The sequence below is a fragment of the Homo sapiens genome, chromosome 21 (genome assembly GCF_000001405.40).
Source record: "Homo sapiens chromosome 21, GRCh38.p14 Primary Assembly".
Lineage (NCBI taxonomy): Eukaryota > Metazoa > Chordata > Mammalia > Primates > Hominidae > Homo > Homo sapiens.
Window position 1 is genome coordinate 30,753,102 of NC_000021.9, and position 26,417 is coordinate 30,779,518.

The 26,417-nt window shown below is 36.4% G+C and overlaps 1 protein-coding gene across 1 annotated transcript; it reads right to left on the minus strand.

The window, feature by feature from the left end:
- Positions 1 to 1,913: 1,913 nt before the first annotated feature.
- On the minus strand, positions 1,914 to 2,327 carry KRTAP21-1 (keratin associated protein 21-1). The gene has a single exon (NM_181619.2). It carries the CDS (start codon positions 2,275 to 2,277, stop codon positions 2,038 to 2,040), a length of 240 nt encoding a protein of 79 aa, NP_853650.1. The 5' UTR covers positions 2,278 to 2,327; the 3' UTR covers positions 1,914 to 2,037.
- Between the last annotated feature and the right edge of the window lie 24,090 nt (positions 2,328 to 26,417).

Consider the following 26,417-nt stretch of genomic DNA (forward strand, 5'->3'; position numbering starts at 1 on the left):
TATAACAAGTTTCTACTGAATCCAGAAGACTTTCTCTGTTGTAAGATTTCAGTGATAGAGTTTGGATGGTCTAGAACTGGAGGAAAGGACACTAAAATCAGAATCAAAGAAGCAGTAAACACTCCACATCAGAAAGTCAGCCAGGAAACTAGAACAGACCCTTTAATCTCATTTTTATGACCACCCCAATCTAAAAAGAACTCCATTAAGATACTAGACCTTGCTCTTTTCTAACTGAAAAATGTGTCATCACCTTCATCATACCCAAAACTTAATGAACTGCTGTCCCCCTTGGCATTTGCTACTGTCCTTTTTAGTCTTTCTTTGCTGCTGGAAATGTTGTATTATGAGCTCAAATGTCATAACCTCAAGATACTTCCCTGAGCTGTCTCTCCAGTACTTCAAACCTTAATCTCCTCTCCATTAAGCTGTTTCATTCCCTCTATAGCAATTATCTGTCTGAATTTGTTATAATTAGTTTTTGCTTCATTATTATTATTATTATTATTATTAATTATTTTAGACAGAGTTTTGCTCTTGTTGCCCGGGCTGGAGTGCAATGACGCAATCTTGGCTCACTGCAACCTCCATCTCCCAGGTTCAAGCGATTCTCGTGCCTCAGCCTCCCAAGTAGCTGGGATTACAGGCGCCCATCACCACGCCTGGCTAATTTTTGTATTCTTAGTAGAGACGGGGTTTCGCCATGTTGGCCAGGCTGGTCTCGAACTCCTGACCTCAAGTGATCCACCTGCCTCAGCCTCCCAAAGTGCAGGGATTAACAGGCATGAGCCACCACATCTGGCCTATTTTTGCTTCTTTAAATCTTCATCTGTTAGACTATAAACATTCTGAGAGCAGAACATTTGCTTATAATTTTTCTTCTGTGTCTTCAGGATGGTGTCTATTCAAAAATATTTAAGTGAATTAAATAGCATTTCTCAACCTCCATGTAAGCAAACATATATATTTGTACTTTTGTCAGATGTAGATACATTTGATAGTATATTTTTTCTTTGAACTTACCCTTTTTTAGGTTTTTATTTCCTCTTGCCTAACACTTGACCCTGACTCAAAATTTTCAACAATCCTGGAAGTGATCTCTCCTATTGCATTACTTTTTTTTGTGTGTGTGATGGAGTCTCAGTGTGTCACCCAAGCAATCTCGGCTCACTGCAACCTCCACCTCCTAAGGGTTCAAGCAATTCTCCTGTCTCCACCTCCTGAGTAGATGGAATTACAGGCACGCACCACCAAGCCCAGCTAATTTTTGTATTTTTAGTAGAAACAGAGTTTCACAATGTTGGCCAGGCTGGTCTCGAACTCCTGACCTCAGGTGATCCACCCACCTCAGCCTCCCAAAGTGCTGGGATTATATTACTTCTTTAAGCACTCAGGCTATATCTCCTCCCTGAGACTTTTGTCATAACATCCTGAATAGGTGTCACTTTGCCTCCCTTTCCCCCTCCAGCTCCATTCTAGACACTCAGTGCCATTTCCAAAGCACAGTTCTGAAATACTCTGTGATTTGTGCTTGGGTATGTGAGAACCTGAGCATGTGGGATATGAGAAGCAGGTAGAGAAGACATTATTTATGATGCAAGCATAAGAGGAAATAATTGCGTTATATCAAGGAAGTACCTAAGGTTCAGCCAACATACTGTTAGCCCAATTTTCAAGAGATTCCAAAACACCCCAAGAAAGAGTAATTCACAAGCAAGTACACAAAGATTTTTAGGAATAAAGAACCATTTTTATTACAAATGATTGACTTCCGCAACTGTAGATGTTATGATCATTAACACAGTCATAACAGAGAATCAGAGATTAAGGGAGCAAAAGATAACATTTGGAAAACAGTCAGATGACACCATGGATCCTATGGCCATGATTTCATTCAAAGAAATGTGAGGCTAGAGGTCGAAGATTCTGTCAAGCATGTAATTCTTGGATATAGAAATCTTGGAGTACGAATCCTTGAATCAGCATTATCTTCAGACGTGTCATTTTAGAAGCAAATGGTCCTCCGACAGTGATGTTTTAGCAGGAAGAATAGCATCTTCTAAAGCAAAATGGCCGGTAGCCACAGTAGCCAGAGCCAGAGCCATATCCACAGCCATAGCCAGTTCCATAACCACAGCCATAATGGGAGCCAAACCCACAGCCATACCCACAGCCATAGCCAGTTCCATAGCCACAGCCACAGCCAGAGCCAGAGCCATAGCCACAGCCACAGCCGGAGCCATAGCCACAGGAGTTGCCGTAGTAGTTGCAACACATGTTGTCAAGAGGAGAGAATTGAGATGGGTTTCAAGAAGATGCTTCTGAGGTGTGGATGTCTTCTACTTCCCTGAGACCTTTATATACTGTCAGTAATTGCCAAAGCATATCACTCATTCCCTGACTTAGGCAACAAATATTTAATCAATTATTATGTGCCAGTCACTGTTGACCATCAATAATATTTTGCTTAAAATGAGCCAATTATTTTGGAGACTCTAGTTTCATTTCAGGAACATCATTTTAATCTGCTCTGCCAAAGAACTGCCTCAATGAAATCATGTGCCCAAATATAAAGCTGATACTAATTTTCAAAATCTCCTATCAGTAAATTTATATCTTACATAACAAGTTTTGGGAGGATAATAACAAAATTTTATCCTTTTTTTCCTCTCTTTTTTCCTAAAATGTCTACCTCTACCCATAGGGAAGGAGACACTCCTATCTCCTTTCCTGAGTCATTACAACTTCTTGCCAGACTTCTTTCTCCAACTCACTCTGCACTTCCACACCTACCCCTTGTCCAACCTCCCTCAAATCCCAAGAAACATATTCACATCTGATCATTCAAAGCCAGAATGTATGCTATCTGCAAGTGCTTCCTACATTTTCCTTCCATCCACCAGGCAAACCAAGACCCTGGGGAGGCAGAGAAGCCCTCCTTTTGTCTCCCATTTCTTCAGCTATATAAGTAATTGTCATTGAGGAGCCTTTTTAAAACTAAACAGCTTCATTTGGATAAGGAAGTAAAAAAATTCATTCGACCAGAAACTCAGTTCTTTCCTCCAATACAGATTTCATCAAAGTTTTGCATGATGAAATACAGATACATTCCTAGAATTTAATAAACCATTTTTCTTCTCCTTTCACTACTATTCCTTGGACATTTACTTCAGAAGCTAAAGGATAGTGGACAATTTTAGGTTACTGACAGCAAAAGCCCACCATTAACAACTAACCCTTCTATGATATAAAGTAGCACAAAAATAAATTTTGTCCCGTTTCCATACACGCATTTCACACTACTCATTCAAAATTCTCAATTACCCACTTATTACAAGTTCTCAATCTTCTACAAAAATATTCATCGTGATTTTGAAATCCGAGGTGCCCTCCTTCTTCCCAACAATCCTCTCTATCACACTTACCTTTTCAAGATACAAAAGAGGAAAATTAGTATCATTTTTTCTGCCATTAGTATTTTTCTCATCACCCTCAATTATCAACCAAAAAAACCTTCTGTTTATACATCAAAAGTCAGATCTGGAATCACTTTCTACAGGATGCCTTTCCTCATTGCTACTGTGGATTACATTTTCCCTTCAGTTGGAAATCTTTCCTTTTTTTTCTGCTATCTGTCACTCGTCTCATCTCATTTCTCTGCTATGTTTAGTCCCTTAAAAAAAGCATAAATAGATCTCTGTCTCAATTTTTTCTTTTCCTTTAGTTTCTTTCTGTTTTTTCATCCTTGAAATTCAAAACTATAAATTCTACTTCACAAGTGGATCCTCTTGTTTGCTCCTATATGCAGACGAATATAATAGATTTGTCATGCTTTGGTGAAACTTTATCCTGTTTACTAATAAAAGCATGATATTCTTGAGGAAAGAGACTATACCTTTCACAGTAGAAATTCCAGGCAAACCTGAGACCCAATCCACATTTTACATAAGAGGAACTTAAGAGTCAATAGGAGTCAAAGACTAGACCCAAACTGAAGCCACTGTAGCTTCAATTTGGGTCTAGTCTAGATATGACTGTAGCTTCAATTTGGGTCTAGTCTAGGTAAGACTGTAGACATGATATTGGTGCCACAAAGAAAATTTTTTCTACTGAGGCTGAAAACATGGTCAGAACTCAGGAATTGGTGTTGAGCCATAAAATTTATACGACATTCCAAAATTGTCTAATGTGTATGGCATCTTTATTTTCTCTAATATTTTTACAAATTTTATCTTTATAGTCATAGCAGGGCCATGGTGATTCTGCAAGAGGATACCTGTAATTAGTGCTTGGACCTGTTACTTATGTATCTGTTGTATATGTATATATGTGTGTATTCATGTATAAAACTATATATATGTTACCATCCATTACCTCAACTGCAAATTTACATGAGCAAGCAACTTATCTCTCCACTTGCAGGATACAGAATATCCATCTGGTATACTGAAAGTACTTAGATAAGCAAAGGATTCATGGGAAAAAATATTTTTCAATAAACTTCAACTTTGCATTCCTATCACTAAAGGATTGAAACATTTATCCATCCATAATACAAATTAAGAGTAGAATCCCATGTCATTTATCAGGGTTCTTTAGACATTTATAATGACTGATGGTCCTTGTAATAATCCAGGTGAGTTAGAGTAGTGGGAAGTGATCACACAGACACCTGCTCCTAGTTATTGGTATTATAGGAAAGATACAGAACTTAGCAGAAATGAGATGCTATGCAGAACTGAGCAGCTTGCCTTGACCTGAGATTTCCCTCTCTCCTTGGTTCTTCCGTGGGGCAAACAGCTGCCAATAACATTCTATGTGCAGTATGGTCCTGTTGGAATTAAGTAAATATGCAAGCTCCTGCTCTTCACTTCCTTTTGCACTCCCGTTCACATGACCATACTGGAAGAACTTACACTGAGACACTATCAACTTCATTTAAGAGAATATTTACAAACTCTGAAGCTGACTGGTTCTTGAAGCAAACCTAGATGTGGAGAGAGATGAAAACAATGTCAGGGCTTCCAGTGCCTTGGTATCTTAATCAACAGTGCTTCCCAGCTTTCCTGTATCCTTGTATTCCTAAAGTCTACTCCTGAAGTTCTAACATCAGGTTTAATCCAAAGAATGAGACCACAAATCCATTTACCTGCTTCCTCTCTTCTAACTAAAATGCATTCAGTTTTCACTGAATTCACAAAGATTCACAAAGATTTCACTGATTCACAAAGAATCTGTGCTTTTTCTACATTGGGTTTCCTCATCTCCAGTTTTAGTTTTTAAATTATAATATGTACTTAAACATTTTTGTTGGTTGCTTGCTTTCTTAGGCATCCATTGAACAACTCAGCTGAATTCCACAAACACTAACTGGACTCATGCCATAGGAAAGATGTTGTCTTGGGAACTGAAAGTTTTCAAAGATAGATCACATGTGGTTTTTGACTCAGGGTCAAGCATCTGCACGAATAAAGTGGCTCCCCCACAAAATGATCTCTGTTCCTCTTAGGACCAACTTACCGGTTTACTGCCCCTACTTTAGGGCTCATTTCTTTCCACACTACAAGTAAAACAGACACAATGGAGCTAGTGCACATCCATATCAGTGGTTCTCAGTGATGGGTGTTTTTGCCCTCTCAGAGACACTTAATAATGTCTGGAGACATTTCACTTGTCACGACTTGGAGAGCGGGAGAAGTTACTGGCATTACTGGCATCTAGTAGTAGAAACCAGGGAAGTAGCTAATCCGAGAAGGCATAGAGTACTCCCCAACAGCAAAGAGTACTGAGGTCTAGAAACCCTGATTTATAGCTATACATCAATAAGTAGGCTTCTAAAACTACAGGTGTCTAATTGAAACTAATCCTTTCTTCTCACTTCATGCCCAGCATCTGACCCTTCGATCACCAAACATATAGTCCAAAAAGGTGGGTTTTTTCTTGTTTCTGGTTTGTTTGTTTGTTTTTAACTTATCTTACTTGTCTAGGTTTCATTTAAATCACCATTTTCAGAATCAGGTTGACTCTACACTTTTAAGTTATTTTTACTATAACAGCCACAAAATCCAAGTTGGAACAGAATACATACTCAGGAAGATCAATTCTTCTCCTGGGTACTCGAATTTGACAACAAAGGAATGAGTGGTGATCCAGCACTTTATTAAATGCCTTCAACAGGGATTTTCACAAAGCTGCCAATTTCATTTTCTGATAATCTTTATTATGAGACATTTTTCCTTCAGTCGAGAAATCTTCCTATTTTTTCTGCCATCGGTCACTGGCCTTATCTGATCACTCTGCTATGTTTCATCCGTAAAAATAAGCATAAAGAAAATAAATCTCTGTTCCAATTGTTTTCTTTTACCTCGGTTTCTTTCTTTTTCTATCATCCTTGAAATTCAAAACTATCAATTCTACTTCACATCATTCCCTGGAATAGACACTTTGCTTTTCAACACTACTGCCAATACTCACTTCCAGGACACAATACCCCTGAGTTATTGAAAAGGTCTTCTATCAAGATTGCATTACTTCTAATCCTTTCCACTCAGATCTCTGGACACTCTTTCATAAGGGCAGAAACTATCTATATTCCCTGAAAATCCAGCTCTGAATACATGTTTGGCACATAATTTGCACTCAATATTTCTCTACCATAAAAAAGATGATTAAGTCAAACATATGTTTCATTGTTTGTGTGACATTTATAAGCCATAAGATATTTGGATATATGTTTAAGTTCTCTGAATATCAGTTTCTTCTTTCTAAAATAGAATCTAAGCATTCTCACATCCTTTTTTATAGGTTACATGCCTATGCAGTGCTTTAGGCCAGGAACTGTATTCTATAAATGTTATTCCTTTGATTGCATTTTTCTCATACCATAGTTTTGAATTTTCATCTAATAATAGGTTTTCGAATATCCATACTTATTTTTACGGAAATGCTGATTTTATCAGAATTTAATGTGATAACTTTGTAATTTAAAGGAGGTTGTTCTATGGTATATACACACATGCTCTTATTTAAAATTTTTCTATGATGAACAAAGAAAACCTCACAGAAAATAAATTACCCTCCCAGTAGCTTTTGTACACCCTGACTGAGCCATTCTGTATAGTAATTTATTACTAAACGTACAGTGTCATCCGTATGTCATTAGGAATAGCATCATGTGTATTTTCAAGCTTAGCAATTACAAGATGATTTTATGTTGCATTTATAAAGCATATCACTTGAAAACATGTTTAGCTACCAATCATGTGTTATGTAAAGGAAGCTCATGTGATTTGTTGTTGTTGTTGTTGTTGTTTGTTTTTGTTTTTGTTTTTGGAATACCACTAGAGTCAAAAGATCAGCCTATAATACAAAAATATTTTATTTTTAGTACTATGGCTGTTTTGATAGCTTCATTAAGTGTCATCTTATAGTAAGAGTTTTAGTGAAGATCAAGGATGTATCATACAGTAAATCCTAAATATTAATAGGAAATATGTTTTAGAGATTTCCATAATTTGGGACGTACATAAATTTCCCCACTTATTGTATAGTATGTTTTTTCCAGCTTTCGATTCCAAGAGTTTTCTTGTCTAAACTTTGATTAAACAATGAAGAAATTCCCTCTAACCTTCCATCTATATTGTAGTTTGTAAAGTGTCTTTACACACATTACTTCAATTCATTCTCACAATCTGGTGAAATGAATAGGGCAGATGCTACTCGAACTAGTGTTTAAGGAAAGAAGCTGAAGTTCAAGGTTATTAAATCACTAGTCCAAAGTCACACAGCTGATGAGTGTCATCCATCAAGTGCCCCTCCTGACCAGGCCCTCCAAATCATCAATGAGGTCTGTGCTGCTCCCTGGGTACCCTTCTTAGACTAGAGAAAGGCTAGGAATTTCCTCTATAAATCTGCTTGGTTATTGCAGTTCTGCCAGTAGTGTCATAAATGCATAAGAAGACGGCTTTTTGTTCTGCTGCCCTATCTCACTGGCCATTCCTGTTCATGCCTCAGGCTTCAATTCAAATGCACCTCTTCTTGGAAATCTTTCCTATCTTCCCACAAATAATCCCTCTGTATTTTAAAACTTTCATACTTATCACTATAAAAACAATAACTTCTTTCTATTTGTAATATTATCATATAACTTAAATAAGGTTACTGATTCACTGAGGACTGACCCCATTTGGATAGACAGTTGATGGGTAAGCAAGTAGGTAGATGGATGGAAGGAAGGAAGGAAGGAAGGAAGGAAGGAGGGAAGGAAGGAGGGAAGGAAGGAAGGGAGGAAGGAAATTCTCCAAAAATCTACCATAACATGAGCTATTTCTCTCTTTTCTTAGCCTCTAGGTTGAATAACAACTCCTTTCGACAGTGCTGGGTACTGACTACACAGAAGACCTAATTTTATTTGAAGAAAGAATTATTGAGATTTCACACCAGCCATGATAGTCTTTCAATTTATGTAAGATACTTTGCATTGTGAAAAACTGACTCTCCTCTCTCCTTTACTTTCTTGTCTCTGTCAGCACCGGCATCATTTTCTCTGCTCATCAGGCTCAACAGTTCTGAGTCATTCTTGATGTGAAGTTCACAGAATTTCAGGACCAGAATGAACACTAGGTCACCACCTATCCTGGAGTTCTCACTCTGGTGATTTTGTCTGTCTTACCCGTGATTGGGAAGCTTCCATCATCTATATTCCCATGGAATAGCCAATTTAGCTCTCAGGGATATACTTGTAAAAAAAAATTAGAGGCTATTGCCCATTAGTCCCAATTCTGATCTCTGGAGACAAGAAGCAAATCCAATCCTCTTGCCATATTATAAACCTTTAATGTGTTTTGATAACCCATGTCACTTCTTCCTGACAAGTCTAATATCTTTCCTCACAAAAGATCACAAGGATGCATTTCCACTAAGTTTCTCTTCCTTGGACATCTCATCTACCTTCCTCTTTCATCATGTCCAAGGCTGAAATACTTGACCTCCAGCATGTTTCATGAGTCCATCACTTTCTTCCCTTTATCAGTGACAAAACTCAATTCAGGCCCACATCACGTCATTCCTGAATTCTCCTAGGCTCATGTCTCTTCCTCTCCAATCCATCCTACAAGATATTAGAGGTTTGCATAAACACAATTCTGAATCCTGTGCAATTGCATATATAAGCATGTGTTTCTGTTATTTCAGATGTGAGTAATCACCAAATAGTAAATTACTGAAGAAAAATTCTTGGATAAATGTCTGAAAAAATGGCAAAGTCACAGGTAACCACACACATAAAATGATAATAAAACAGGAAGATCACAAAATCTGTAGTAATGGATGATTTAAAATAAGATGGATGACACAGACTTGATAGATTCAAAAATGTATTTTATTGGGAAACTGATTTGCCATGTAGAGCACAAATGCTCATGGCCATAGTCACACCATTGGAAGAAACCATGAAACTTAAGGGTTAAATTTCAGGAAACAGTTGGCATATAATCTTTCTTCCATTAACATCAAACCTATCTATGGCAAAAATATTTCAAAGGGATTTAAATAGAGTCACAGCTGTCATCCTATTGTTACTTCAGCAGCAAATAATGCTCTGATAGTGATTTTCTAACAGAAAGACGTCTAGCATGCTCTGTAGCAAAATAGATAATTAGCCATTGCAAACACAGCCAGAATGAGAGCCATTGACACAGCCGTAGCTCGACCCATCACCACAGCCAGAGCCAGGGCTATATCCACAGCCTCCACAGGGATCTCCATAGTAGTAGCAATTCACGGTGTTAGGAGGTGAACGTCAATGAATTATAAGGGGTAATTCTGCATGTCTGAATGGTCCCCACAATCGCAGACCTTCACATGCAATCAGGGATGGGTGGGACACACTGAGTCCACCTGGTCAGTCCCATAGCAATTTGCTTCAAAGTAGCTCATTTTAACTAGGCACTCCAGTTTTGTTAGGAAGTCACTCCAATATTGTTAGAAAGGCTCTTTCTAATGTACTTTTACCCGGGGTTTGTCTCTAGTTGATAATGAGCCTGGAGCAATACTGGCTTCTTTTTCATCAATGCTGTTCTATTAAAAACATCCCACATGTGACTCGTGACCCAACATAGACCAAAATACGTGGTTTGTCCTCTAACTAAATGAAGTAGCCATGAGATTTTGTCTGGGTCCGTGTGTGTGTACATGTGTATATGTAAATATGTAGAATAATATTAATCCTACTTAACAGGGATTTTAATTCCTGTTAAGAGGGGTTTTTTTTGTCTAGAGTTGTTTTTTTTTTTTTTTTTTTCTAAAAAAATCAGGTGACTTGGCTAGAACCACACAGCTGTATGACAGAAGTATAACTTAGTCATCAGACTCCAAATTCCATATTCTTTGAGTCTGACTTAAAAAGAGAGCAGAGTCCAAAAAATCAGCTTTCATAAAAACATTGAAATGCCAATATTACCATTCCATAAATTGTGAACATCTATGACTTGTTTTTTGATGCTAACAGATCCTTGCTTACATTTCATTTTGACCTTCATAGGTTTGTATAAACCAAATGCAAATTGACCATTTCTACCTCTGCCTTCTATGAGTTCCAAGTCTCCCTTAATAAAAAAGGCATCATTATCACTTGCCCATCCAATCATGCTGCTCAGGATCAGAACTGTCTACCATTCTTCTTCCTGAAAGAAGAGTTAGGTAAAGATAGGGCTAAGGGAGAATGAATACAGTTTTTTCTGTTTTTCAAATTATGGGTCTAAGCCTGTGTAAAAGTATATCATCTTTAACCATGATCATATATAATTAAGCCATGAAGTACAAGCCATCTTGAGATTTGGACTTCCATCACTATTGTCTGTGCCTTTCTTTCTGCGCTAAAAAAAAAAAAAAAAAGAAAAAAATCCAATACCTACGCAATTCTTTAAAATTCCATGAATCCTTCCACATAGCAGGCTCTTCCCTGCCTTCTCCCTAGACAATTATACAATGGTGATATTTACTTGCACAAATTTAATTGGATATTTCACTACATAGTCACTAAACCAATCAATTCAATTTATCCATCATGGATTGAGAGCATGCCATATGTAAGGAACAATCAGAGCCAATCATACTGGTTTGCAATCCGTGCAGTTTATAAGGCCCAGTGCTCAGAAAAGGTTCCTGTGTTTGGAGTTTTAAGTTCTTAATACTTTTATCTTTGAATTTGTGGTTCGTTGATGAAGTCTGTAGGGAATGGAACATGTGCTGGGGTGCTGGGATGGGGTGTCAATTCACACACAGTCCCACCTCTCATCTCCAGCCCACCTCCCCAGAACAGGTCTTTGGTTTTCAGCTCCCTCACTCAGTGACTGCTGCCACCTTCTTTCCCCAGCAGGAGCCTGAACACAGGCATGGGAAAGGTCAAGATGGAACATCTACGAGGATCTAGACTCATCCAACAGATATTCCCATGCCCAAGAGCACATGACATTAATAGCAAACAAAAAGCATCATGACATGTCAAGAAAGCACGTTTTCCGTTTGCACTGGACTCTGCGAATTATGTAGCTGACCCTAGATAAAGCCCAACGTGTTCCATTGCCCTCCAGACTTCGTTGAGAGGATGTAAGTGGCAAAAAACACACATTCTCAGACCTTCAAGTTTCCATTAATATTTCAGGAGTTGGTCCTTAACCCCACACACTCATCCACCACTCACTCCACCTTGTTTCTTCCCTTCACCACCAAGTTTCTTCAACAAGTAGGCTGTGCCCAGAATTTTGCCATCCTTTTACTCATTAATTTCTCAATTAATTGCAATTTCTGTTCTATCCCCATCATATAACTAAGGCTGCTCTCAATAAGTCACCAAGGATGTCCTTGTTGCCTGGTTACTAAATAGACCATAGCATTATTTAACCCCTTTGAAGCATTTCACAACACAAACCCCCATCTCCTTATTGAATTTTAACTCCTAACCTCATCATTTTTCCTTGAAAATACATAATTCCTTACAAATTACAACAGATCAAAAGTCTATATTTTCCACTTACCACTGAACTGGTCTTGCTGCAAAATATTCTCAAATATATTCCCAAACATATTATTAAATTGGTCTCTTAAAGTTTGGTTATTTTATTATAAATATATCTTAATTAATATTTTGATAACAAATAAAACAAAATGACCAAACACTCAGATAATAAACAAATCCTTGTTAAGTGTTATGTCACATTGCCTGGAGCATTTTGTACAATAATTTATTACCAAACATAAATGCTCAACACTATGTCACTAGGTTTGACATCATGGCATAGTTTAAAGTTTATTAACTGTGGTGGAAACAGATGTTACCTGTTAAATACTTCTAACCTAGAAACATTATTATGCGTAGTATATAGAAAGGGCAGTATGACATGATACTAAGTACATTTTTTTCTTTATGGCTACTCACCAATGAATGCCAGCGATGTTAAGAACCTAAGTCAATAACCTATTGAGTCATTCTCTCATACCAGGAAAAATACCATCCAACAGAAAAATATATGTATGCTTAATTAATTAAGCAAGTCTTCAAAACTATTTTATATATATATTATATATATATCTCAATCACATGGTTACATATAACACATGGTCTCAGTCACCAATTCATGGACACTTTGTGAATGCAGTGAAAATATATATATATATATATCTCAAATATATATATTCTATATATTATATATAGAATAGTAATATATAATATACATTATATATAGAATAGTAATATATAATATATATTATATATAGAATAGTAATATATATATCAAATATATATATTTGATCCTTGTAAAAGTACTGTAAAAGGCAGCACAGTTATTTTAATTCCAGTTTTACAGAAAGGATAAAAATGAGACTGAATAAGAATGAGTTTTTCCTAAGGTCTCCCAGCTCCGAAGTGGCTCCATAACACCTTTCAGATCCACAGCTCACTCTTCTCTGGACCCATGTCTTGCAAGATGGTTTCCCAGCCTCTTACTGAAGACTTGTCATAAGAAAAAGATAACTAGTTCCCCCCAAAACATCATTCCATTAAAAAAATTTCCAGCTATCAGAGAAATCCCTATATGCTTCAGAGTCTCTCAACATTCAACAATGAATAGTTCCCAACGCACTTAGCATCTCTGTGGAACTATTGCCTGCACTGGGTGCCTCTTAAAGTAATTTTCATGAATCTTGATGTACCATCCTTTCCTAATGGTCTCCCCTGTTCCCAGTTTCCAGCTGGTATGGCACGCTGATTGATGGCTGCAGATGAGCTGATGTGACGTCTTCTAACCAAGCCTTTCAAGTTACCCAAATTCTGTGACTATTTGCAAGGGAAGCCTCAGACTGTCTCTGCTAATCTGACTCTTCCAGTAAAGACCAGACCTCTGTCAATAAGATGGCATGTTATTGATGCCTTCTCCTTTTTTTGATCCCTCTGGTCATTTCTGCAATCATCCAGCAGTCTACCTCCCATTCATCCTTCGAGGATGATCTTTTTGTCTCCTGGAACTTTCCACTCCCCATCATCTCTGACTTTGATGTTTCTTTTTTTATTTTTTTCCAAAGCACCCTCTCATAACTATTAGAAATATTGTAACATCTGTATCATAACCTGCCAGTAAGGTGCTGGTAAATGCACTTACTGGGAAAAAGTAAATAAATAAATACTTCCATCTTAGCCAGTTTCAAACCACCAACATGATGTCACTGATTGTGGAGCTGAGACGAGATATACACAATTAGCCTTCACAAGCCAACACAGCTAGCTCTAGCATGCTGCTGCAAGGGAGGCATCTCAGTGTGGCACTTAAGAACATGGATTCTGGCTTCAACTCTGCCTCTGCCACTAATTAGCCCTAAAATCTTGGACAATTCATTTCATTTGTCTGTGCCTCACTTTTCTCATCTTAAAACGAATATAATGATAGTACCTACGTCTTAGGGTTGTGAAGATTATTTGAGCTAATATCTGTAAATCACTTAGAATAGCACCTAGCCAATAGTAAGTGCTATTTAAGAGGTTTTATTTTTAATATAAATTAGAATGTGTGATCTTGTTATCTCTCCCATACTTCACAGGTGCAAACTTCTTGGAGTCTAGAACTTTATCTTATGCCATTAAATCTACAGCATCTAATAAAGTCATTATATAAAATTTTATAAATGTTTGATAAATGACTATTGATAGTTCAGGATCTAGAACAGAGGTTGGTCCATAAAAGGTGAATTTTTGTCTTTCCTCATAGCATCAATACACACACACACACACACACACACACACACACAATCTTATCTGCTCCCGACTTTGAAATTCTAATTTATTCTATTCTAGAAGATATCTCTCTACAATGTGGTCAGATTTCTAAAACTAACTGATAATATTTGATCTCTCTCTCCATTACAGAATTCTATGGCAAATCGTGTTATTTTTTCTGTTCTATATTCAGCATCATCATTCTTCTCAAGCCTCTGTATTTGAAAATCACTTTTTGTTCATAGAATCCCAGAGGTTAGAGTAAAAAGAAACTTCAGAGGGCAGTTAGCTCTGCCCAGCTCCCGGATGCCAGGACTGCATTCACAAAGTATCCATGAATTGGTGACTGAGACCACGCATTAGTATCTTTAGAGACAGGGTAGGCCATAAAATTATCAATCCGCTTTTCAGATGCAACTAATTATTAAAGGAATTACTTTTTATTTATTATTTTATTTTATTTTATTTTATTTTATTTTGAGACAGAGTCTTGCTCTGTCACCCAGGCTGGAGTGCAGTGGCACAATCTCAGCTCACTGCACCTCCACCTCCCAGGTTCAAGTGATTCTCCTGCCTCAGCCTCCTGAGTAGCTGGGACTACAGGCGCCCGCCACCATGCCTGGCCAATTTTTTGTATTTTTAGTAGAAACATTGTTTTTCACCATGTTAGCCAGGATGGTCTCGATCTCTTGACCTCATAATCCGCCCGCCTCGGCCTCCCAAAGCGCTGGGAATACAGGCCTGAGCCATTGCACCCGGCTAGAGGAATTTCTTATGTCAAGAAGTCTGACCCATTGAATCTTCTATTCATGAATTCTGATTATGGTCTCTTGAATTGTACAAAGCAAATAGAAAACAGTTACCTTATAATCTTCAAATATACAACACCACAGGCAATGTTTCCTGCTCCAACTTTTAAAATCATAAACACTATAAAACAGGGTTTTTTTTCCTAGTAAGGAAAAGTATCCACGCTTTTATTTTCAAATGCTAATGTTCAGCATATCTGATAATTTAATGCTAACTTCTTTCCTTGTACTTCCTATATCTTGCCTATTATTTTTATCTTTATGGACCCAATTATAGTTTGTTTTCTAAGCAGATCACTGTGACTAGCTCACAAAATTGTTGTATATCTTCTCCGAGGTACAGAATATCATTATCACTGCTGTTCCCTAATGACAGTTAAATCACAGTTGAATATATACAGAAAAAGAGGGATCACTCCAAGAGTTTGTTTTTCTTACAGTAAAGGGAATACCAAAGCTCAACAATATCGATTATCGATACTCAATACAAAGCCTTAAGTTCTCATTCATTTGTATAAATGTCTTATTAGTAAATCATGATTGGTAAACTTTGATAATTTTTATCCTCAAAAAAAGCCATCCTCCCAGCATTCTGCCAGAAGCCAATAATTTTTCTGCATTTGTTTATCACATTTCTTCTCTTTCAAGTAGTTTTATAATGTTGCTTTTTTTTTTTTTTTTTTTGAGACAAAGTTTTGCTCTTGTTGCCAGGCTGCAGTGTAATGGCATGATCTCTGCTCACTGAAACCTCCACCCCACCGGGTTCAAGCAATTCTCCTGCCTCAGCCTCCCAAGTGGCTGAGATTACAGACATGTACGACCACGCCCGGCAAATTTTGTATTTTTAGTAGAGACAGGGTTTCTCCATGTTGGTCAGGCTGGTCTCAAACTCCCGACCTCAGGTGATCCGCCCGCCTCAGCCTCCCAAAGTGCTGGGATTACAGGCCTGAGCCACCACACACAGCCCAATGTTGCTATTTTTAATTAACTTTGTTGGTTGTTTTAACAAAAAACCAATCTTATTAAATGCATACAATATACAAAATCGCACACCATAGTCAACAGAGTTCTAAGACGGCCCTCATGATTCCTACCTACTGGTGTCCATGCTTTCGTGTAATTCCCTCACCTTGGGCATAACAGGCAGGACGTGTAACAGCCTTCTAACCAACCAAATGTAGTAGAAGAGATGGCATAGCACCCCCATGATAATGTGACTTCACAGGGCAACAGTGAAGAAATTTTCAGTTAATGGTTTTACAGGTGAGTAAAGTAAACACATGACTTAAGAAAAGAAGTTGCTTTTATCTGTTGTTTTATTGTTCATTTAGAATTTTGTATATAAAGCAAAGATTCATAGACAAGCCTTAATTTAAAACAAATAAATAGTATCCTGGGTATAACTTTGTTATAATCTTCAACTGGTAGCTTTTTGTTTGTTTTCTGATAAAATCTATGTATTCCTTGAGTATAATTTCTTTTCTTGTTCATCTTATGCTCCCATTGCCTATTCATAGGCACCAACTGTACTCATAGGCTGTCATTAATTATTTGCTTAATTAAATTGAATTGAATTGAATCAGGTTGGATAAAAGAAAGTAATTCTTGCAGTAATGTCTTTGCTACATTAAACAAAAGAAAGACTGAACTCATAGAGAATCTTTATTAAGCTATTGTACAACATAAAAGGTCAGGAATTTCTGACCTAGAGCAATTGAAATGACACTCAAAAGAAGGAGAAGTTAGTCATAAGGAACACAAACAGAATTTGGCAAGACAATGTGTCTGGTAGTGAAGGAAAAGGAGGAGCAGATGATGTTATATTTTCAGACCTTTTCAATTTGGCAATGGCGACACCATTTTAATACTTATCACTACTTTTCTTTATAGTTAAGTTGACTTCTGCTCTCTACATGTAAGTTCTTTGGGATCAAGGAAAGATTCCCACAAAGTATTGTGAGAAAATGACCCAGTTTACATTACTTGGCAATAACAGTGATTAAAATGAGTAATGAGAACTCTGATATTCATCTCCGCTAGGTATTACTCATTCAAGAGAAGCTCATAAAAGCAATGATCTAGTTAACAACTTTACACCTATGGCTAATGTTGCAACCACCACAATCCCTTATTATAAACACAGTTTATAGTCACGACGTAATTTATTTTCTCATCTTAGTATAACAGCAAGTGAGGTAATCATGACAATGTATAAATGTGGGCCTGCCTGGCTAAGCATTCCTATTAGGAGTGACTCTACTAATTTCATATCAGACAGTTTCTCTCTCAGAAGCTTTAAATTACCAACAAAGTGTAATTGGTTAAATGTCTGGGAGGATGTAAATGTCAACAATAACTGGTCATTACTTTTTCTGAATTTTAGGAGAATTCCAAGGAAGCTGGTATGGGGGTGTGATCCCAATTTGTACAGAGCGGAAGCCCAAGGCAGGCCATGCCTATTGGCCTGAATCGTGCTGATGCTGATTTTAGAAAAGCAAGCAATGCTTCATAAGTACTGAGACTGTGTTTGGAACCACCAACGTTCTAAAATTAGGATGTAATGACAAACCATGTGTGATGTTTTGCTAGTCAGGATATATTTTGTGCCAATTACACAATTTAGTTGCCCTGGTTTTTTTTTTTTTTTTTTTTTTTTTTTTTTTTGAGACGGAGTCTTGCTCTGTCGCCCAGGCTGGAGTGCAGTGGCGCGATCTTGGCTCACTGCAAGCTCCACCTCCCGGGTTCACGCCATTCTCCTGCCTCAGCCTCCCGAGTAGCTGGGACTACAGGCGCCCGCCACCACGCCCAGCTAATTATTATTTTTTTTTTTTTTTGAATTTTTAGTAGAGACAGGGTTTCACCGTGTTAGCCAAGATGGTCTCGATCTGCTGACTTCGTGATCTGCCCGTCTCGGCCTCCCAAAGTGCTGGGATTACAGGCGTGAGCCACCGTGCCCAGCCTTTTCAAGAGAACAGAACTACACTCACATACTGCATTTGATTTAGAAAGAAAAAGAAGACCATCTCAAAGAATACACAACTATGCCCCTACAGGTCATAGAAAGCATTGTATGTGCACCTGAGAATTAAAGTCCATAATAAGACCTATAATAAAACAGGCAGCAAGAAGATTCATGACAATGCGATCTAAACTATTCATGATACGAGTTTGAATAATTCATTCAAACCTAACTTTTCTTTTCATTTTTTAAGACCTGAAATTCAGGAAATACACAAATAAATTGCAAAGCTACAATTTCATACATTTTGTCGGATATAATTTGATTCTGCCCAGATTTCATCTTCAAGAGAAGAAAGTTAATTGCTTTTTTACCTAAAATTATATGCAGAAAGCAGAACAAATTAATTTGTAAGACATCCTTGGCTTATATGATTAGTGAGTAAATACCTACCCACCAGAAGTAGTTTTAGAAATAAATTTTAAAGTTAAAAAATAGAATGTCTGAGTAGGAGAAACTAGGAGGAGGTAGAGATCGATTTAGATTATTGCTTAATTTTTTAAAATTTATCTTGTAAGTAAACTAGTATAAACATTGTCAAAAATGTAAACAAAATCATTTTGGGATAGCCAGATCTCCTTAACAATGAATAAAAAGAATAACCAAACAGCAGACTCAAATTGTTCAAGACTTTATGAAAATATTTAGGAAGCCAATTAAATGATTCGCCATGTCACAGAAAATGTAATAAATAATTGCATTAGGAAATCCTCTAGGAATATAATAAATAATGCAATCTTTTTCACTCCTGTTGAATTTTGTGCTAGTATACTCAGTCAATGAGAACTCAGCAGGTAACAATACTTTTGATTCCTTCTTATTAGCTTATTATAAGAATTGAATAGAATGTTGTTTACCAAAAGTGTTTTATGTTAAAAATCAAAGGCAACACAATTTGCATCATTACAATACAAATTATCCATACATAAACTTATTTCACAAAAATGCATTCAGTCCATATATCTATGCTGGACAGTGTCCTGGGCTGGAAATACAGTGGAGAAGAATAAACGAGGTGCAATCTCTGACCTCAAAGAGTTTCCAATTAAAAGAAGTGTTTCCAGATCTCTCATCTCTTAAGATCTCTTCTTGGCATCTCTCTCTGTCTTAAATGTCTCTACTATAAATAAATTGATACAATTTGGCAGATACATTCTTTTTAATAGCAGGAAATATTTTTATTTTCTTCCCTATGACACTAACAAGATTTCATCTCTCTGCCTAGGTTTACAAAGTTTTGACTATTACTTCAGGTAATAAATATCATAATATAGGTTCTTAGATGTGAAATAAATTGAAATAAGTACAAAACTATACCTCTCTTTGGCACCTAATATAATCCAATTCATAGAAACGTCTGTGTTTTTCACCAAGTTAAGCAGAAAAATACTCAGACTATGCCTTCCCATGATTATACATCATACCTGAAACCTGAAAAAAATATTAGACAGTAATCCAGCTATTTCAAAGACTTGAATGTTTAGTTCCTATACACAAGTTCCTACATATTCTAACATTTTTAATTTTCAAATATTTATCATGGTCCAAAAAAAGAAAAAACCATCAATCAGACCACGTGATGTGATGGAGTAGCCACAGCACTCCATCTGATTAACCCTTCAGGCCATTGATTAATGCAACCAATCAAGTACCAGACCATTACATCTGATTAAGCACTCTCTGATTTTACTGGCAATTTAAGAACTCCAGCTTAATGCTTAGGAGGGAATCTAATGCATTAAATCTCATATATCTTTTTTTTTTCCAGGAGGAAAACTTCATTTGGTATTCAGTCCACACTAGATAAATGGTGATCTATGGAGACTGAACTACTAAAGCAAATAGGCATGCAGACAATGAGTAAACAGAAGAGAAATGTCTTACAAACACATAGGGTTTTAACCAGCGACTTTAATGTTGGGTCAAGTGTCCTTTCCACGAGCTCCTTTGGAACACAAATGATAACAAAGTCAATAATAACTATTTGTACAAAGTCTCCACTCCTTGCAATCTTGGGAAAGAAGTATTAACTTGAAAGAAGTAATAACTTTTGCACCAACATAATACGCCTTTCCCAGGATTACAAGGAGTGGAGACTTTGTTACAGTAGTTATTATTGACTGTATTATTCAGTCTTCTTTTCAGATTTCTGCTCATCTCCTATGAATGTATCCCAGGAGTAGCATGAGGAACATGGGATTCTGTAGGAAACTGCCAGAGACCCAGGAAACGTGTGAACACAGGTGAAAGGAAAGAGAGGTGTGCCAAGGACTGAGGAAGAAGCAAAGAATCCTAACCCTGGATGTAGGAAACATCAACCCCTGGACATCAGAGATGGTCATACTCACAGAGAGTCTGTAATAACCTATGATACGTGAAAAAAAAGAAAAATGAGCTAGTTCACCAGCTGTCATAGATAGTGCAGAGAATCATCATACACTAAGTGAAATAAGTTTATGTATGGATAATTTTTATTGTAATGATGCAAAGTCTGTTGCCTTTGATTTTTAACATAAAAAACTTTTTCTAATAAACCTTCTATTCAATTCTTATAATAAGCTAAGGAAATGGGCAAGGTTGACCTTATCCCATCTTACAAATGGGGAAACTGCATCTCAGTGAGTCTATATCATAAAAAAGATGGCTGGAGTTCAACACAGCTTTCTAATTTGCAATTCCATGGCTATTTCACTATACAATTAAGTACTATGGAATTTTAGGTTCTTATTTTAATGCATTTTTAAAATATTAAAATAATAAATAATTCTTTGGGCTGCTTCCCCTAGATGTTAATTTTAAGGAATTGTTTATTTTATTTTTAGTCTACTGTATAAAACCTAATATTCATTAAGTGAATATGAGAGAGAATAATTGAATGAATTAAAATTGTAAAATATAAGACATATTACAGAATTATTTTAAACATATTTACATATGTATAAGCTGAACACTTTGTGAACCCCAATGCTAATATATCTTTTCCATAGTTATAAAAGAACATTCAATTTAAGAAGTGGGGCTGGGAAAATTGGTTATTCACATGCAAAAGAATGAAGTTGGATCCCTCCTCACTATATACAAATATTAACTATAAATAGATCATCTTAAATATAAGAGCTAACATTATAAAACTCTTAGAAGAAAATATAGCAGTAATTTTTCACTTAGGCAAAGACTTCTTAGTTGTAATAATTAAAAGACAAGTGACAAAAGCAAAATAGATAAATTGGACATTATCAAATTAAAAACCTGTAGTTTTCAATGGACATGATCAAGACAACCCATGGAGTAGAAAAAACTGTTTGCAAATTCTACATCTTATGGAGGAGTTTATCTAGCATATATAAAGGACTTGCAATTCAATGATAAAAGACAAATAACCCAATTCAAATATAAGCACAGGATCTGAATGAACATTTCCTCAAAAAGGATGTACAAACAGCCAATAAACATAAGAAAATATGCTCAACATCATTAGCCATCAGAAAAATGTAAATTAAAATCCCAGTATCACTTCACACCCATTAGAATGACTATAATCATAAAGTCAGATAATAACTAGTGTTAATAATAATAAAGTGTTGGTGGAGAAATTGAGCCCTCATACACTGCAGGTTGGAATGTAAAATGGTGCAGGTGTTTTGAAAAACAGCCTGACAATTTTTCGAAATGTTAAACATAAAGTTACCATTCAGCTCATAGGTATATAACCAAGAGAATGAAAACATACGTTCACTCAATAAGTTGTATATGAATGTAAGTAGTAGCATTATTTATATTAATCAGAAAAAATGAAAACAAACCAAATGTCTGTCAGCTGGTGAATGGGTATAAATGTGGTATATCCATACAACGGAATATTATGTAACAATAAAAAGAGAGAACGTACTGATACAAGAAAATGCAATTTTACTCCTACACAACTTCTGGTTACCAGGTAAACTGCTGTGAAATTCATTGCCTATCGACATTTGATGTTTTTGAGAGCCTTAAGAAAACCACTTCTTACATTTTAATGAGTCATTAAATGACTTTTCTTCTTTCACACACAAAATCTCCCATTTTAGTTTTTACTGTTTTCCAGTATTTGAGCTTATGTGCCCAAAGTGTTTTTTTATCTAAACTCATAGAAATATAAGCTGTATTTCAAGAATGATCATTGCCAATGAGCCACAACAGAGGTAAAAATATACTTTCTAAATTATCAGGAAGACTCCTACAGCTGATTTTATAAGGAACTCCCTAAAATACATACCAATAGCTTAAGAGATTTGTCAGTAAACAACAATGTCATGTGACAGCAATTAATCAACACAATAGTAACGCCTTGTTTGCTCCTGTGTTCAACTGTCAAAGGAGGCCATTTCATCTGGACTATTAAAACTCCTAAATGTGGCCTGGTTTATCAATGGTAAAGTGAATCAGGGAGTTTTTGACGAATACAAATAGAAAAAAAAATCCTGTAATGTGAATTTAAATGCATGTACTTAGAGGCTGTAATATATAAACTACAGCATACAGATAGGGGTTGGAAAGCCATAGTTTGATGGTACAAGAGCAAATGCTTAAATGATGACTGTATAAAAATGCTGGAAACTCCCCCAGAGGCAAAGAGTAAACTGGAATGTCATATTGCCTGCCACTGTACACAAGAGATGAAGGGACCAGAAAATAAACACAGGCTTCTTGAAATTCATCACAGGATATACTAGTAAAGGCATAAAAACTGGAAGTCAAAAGTCAGCAGCAAGATAATAAGCATTTTGGAAATAGGGTGTTCAGTAGAGAGGGTAACCATAGCCAGAGTTGTATTACAGCCATAGCTTGAGCTGTAGTCACCACCACTTATATGGAGCCTTAATTACAGCCCAGTCCTGGGTAGCTTTTGCTACCCACATCATAGCCATAGCCAAGGCCACATCCACAGTTCCCATACGAGTTTGTGTCATAATTGGAATACATGGTGTCAGCATGTAAGGTTTCAGTTGCATTGTAAAGGAAGATTGATAGTCTATTCAGAGCACCATGCCAAGACCTGCACTTCACCTGCCAGGAACAGGCAGGCCATGTGTCATACAGACTCTGCCTCCTCCATACCTCCAACAGTTTGTGGAGCAGCCTTTCATTATTTTGTGGTGTCCTCTTAGAAAAGATTTGGTCAAAGCAGTTAAGAAAGTGTTTAATTGATCTGCTAACTTGGCTTTCCCCAACTAAATTTTCAGTCTAATATAAGTCATTTTTGATGAACATACTTGTCAGATTTTATTATCCATAACTAGCAGCATGACACCTACTGTGAAGGTGAAGGTCTCAGGTGAGCACCTGTCCACATGAGAGCTGCTATAACGAACCCTTTTGCCTCTCTTATTATCCTGTTATTTTACCTAAGACCATAACCTCAACTTCTTCCTCATTGCAATTTAACGCATTACATCGGCCAGGAAGCTATATTCCCATTAACACATAAAGCCACAGAGGCAGAATTATGTCTGTGTCTACCCGCATTCAAAACAAGACATAATTGGTGATTAGGCCACCTCTGCTACCAAATTCATAGTTAATTCATGAGAAGAGTTAACCCGTGTATTAAAATCTATGTTCTAGACTAGGTGTGGTGGCTCACACAGGTAATCTCAACACTTTGGGAGGCCAAGGAAGGGATTGCTTCAGCCCCAGAGTTCGAGACCAGCATGGGCAACATAGGGAGACACTATCTCTACAAAAAATTTGAAACTTAAACAGACGCAGTAGAGGTGAAAGGATTGCCTGAGCCTAGGAGTGTGAGGTTACAGTAAGCTATGATCATGCCACTGGACTTTAGCCTGGGTAACAAAACAAGAATCTGTCTCTAAAAAAAATTTTTTTTAATTAAAAAGAAAACTAAAGCAAATTATTTTTACCTTTGTAATATCTCACCTGCCTAACTTGTTGGCTGTTAATAATATTTTGATAATTTATCCATCCTTCATGTGATTTTTAGTATATTTCTATTATTCAAAATTCACAATCTAGTAAAATACGTTTCATACTTTTCAATGTATTCTCCAAATCCCTTCCCTTCATTCCTTTTCTCCTTTTCTATGGCCAATCATCAACCATCTTTTGGCAACTGACCCAAATACAGCCATACCCAAATGAAGAAATAACATAAATCATAAATATAATACATTTTAAAAGTGTTGTTTTACTGAGAGGCAGTGTAATCACAGTGCAGTCCCAGGTAAAAGCATACTGCCACCCCTTACTACCAAGTGTATTCCAATTTGGATAATAAATTGTATCAATGACCTATAATCAATGACTCAAGGGCCAGCCTGCCTTGCCAGGTTCAAATACTAGCTTTGTCATTTACCATTTGTGAAATCTGGACAAGTTTTACCTCTCTGACCCTCAGTTGCCTCATTTGCTATTAGGGATACTAAGTTAAGTACTAAGGATTAAATTAGTATATGAAAAGCATTGAGAACAGTGTCTGAAAATGACAATTATTATTACATTATTAAATGTAAGCTGTGGTTATTATTGTATATATTAAAACCAATTACATTCACAGAGAGAGAGAAGAACAACATGCCCTATGGCCTATGGCACTTCAGAAATAAAACAAATATGACACAGAAAACCAACTAACACAGTATTATTTGATTATATATAGCGTTAAGGATGGAAAATGTTAATAGGGACCTTTGGGATTGTGAAACTTTTAGGAGGAAATAGTTATTAGCTTTGCTACATATTACCTGAGGCAAAATGTATGCTAATAGCCCATTGAAATGTTAATATTTAGATGTGAATATTAGTTTTAGTTTAACAGTCATGGAATACAAATAGGATGCATTTAGAAAATTCTGGGGATAAGATAGATATAAACAAGTTACTATTAATAAGAATAAGGTAATTTTCACTAAGTACTTTATATATTATTTTTGAAAAGAAAAAGTAGAATACTAAAAAATACTTTTCCCCAGGTTTATGAAAGCATTGTGGAAAGTGAAAAATAAAATTAATTCACTTTCCAGGATCTTTCTTTACAGAATGGCTTGATAGGCTGCCTACTAATGTTTCTAGAATCTTAAATATGGGAAGTAAAATGATTTTTTAGTAAATCATGTATTATATTTTAGATAGGTTTACCTAGTTCTATTAGCATTCACATAATTTTTCCTTTCCGTAATGGAAATAAGTCATCAGTAGAATCTGTATTTGAGTAATTAATTATAAAAGCAATGGTAGATTTGAAATGATTAATCTTTATTTTTCCCCCTTAGAAATGGCAACATGTAGATTAAAGGTGGTTAACCTGGATTAGAAGACAAGTCATGGTCATAGAAGACATTACACTCAAGTCCCCCAAATCATGGGGCACACGCCCACAACCTCAGCATTATTGAGAGAGCCACAGACAAGCATCACTAATTGGACCAGATGATTTTTACATCCCGTACTGCTCCAAAATTCTGAGTTCTCTCCAGCAGATATTTCAATTAGGCCAAAAAAAAAATACAGCAAAGTAAAAATGGTCACAATCATTTTATCAGAAAGTTCAGAAAATTCCAAAAAACTCCTAAGTTGATTTGCAGGTACCAAGTGAAAAAAGAAGAAACTTTCTACTTCCAGGTAGTATACAGATGATTAAGAAAGATCTTCCCTCCCATAACAACCACAAAATCTTGGACAAAAAAAAAAATCACACTTCTCCATGGGCCTAATAAAGAACAGTAGATGATGTAAAGAATCCTAGTTGAACCGAATTCGAGAAAGAAATAAACCTTAAAAGAGGAAGCCATGGGAGCTTTTATTGCTGAAGGCAGATGTCCACTTTGGATACAGGCAGATCAAATATAAAGAGAGAATTTAAGAATAATTATTACATATTTCAAATATGAAAAAGAAGCCAGTCTCTTTCACTACTTTCGCTCTTTTGAGAGTCTGATTTCACCTCAACTCCTCAACGTCCTTGTGTTCTGATTTCCGTGGCTAAAGCCAGCTTAACACCTCCGAATGGGTACTGTTAAGCTACAAGGGAAGAAAACACATTCCAATTCAATCATCCAACACATGAACATCACAATCTCTTTTATTCAGAGCCAGTACTACCTTCTTTTAATCTACAGCTGACATCACTATGATACTTTGCTCTAGAGGCTGTAACTGACAACATATAAAATGTAATAGCAGCCAGGTAGAGCATTACAGTTCTTGAAATGAAAGGAGATTTGCCATAATAGAAATTCAATTGCCATATGCTGCATCAGCTATAAGTAGCATGTTGGAACACAGCATGCTGTGTTTCAAAACACACCTTATCTTAACACTCAACACC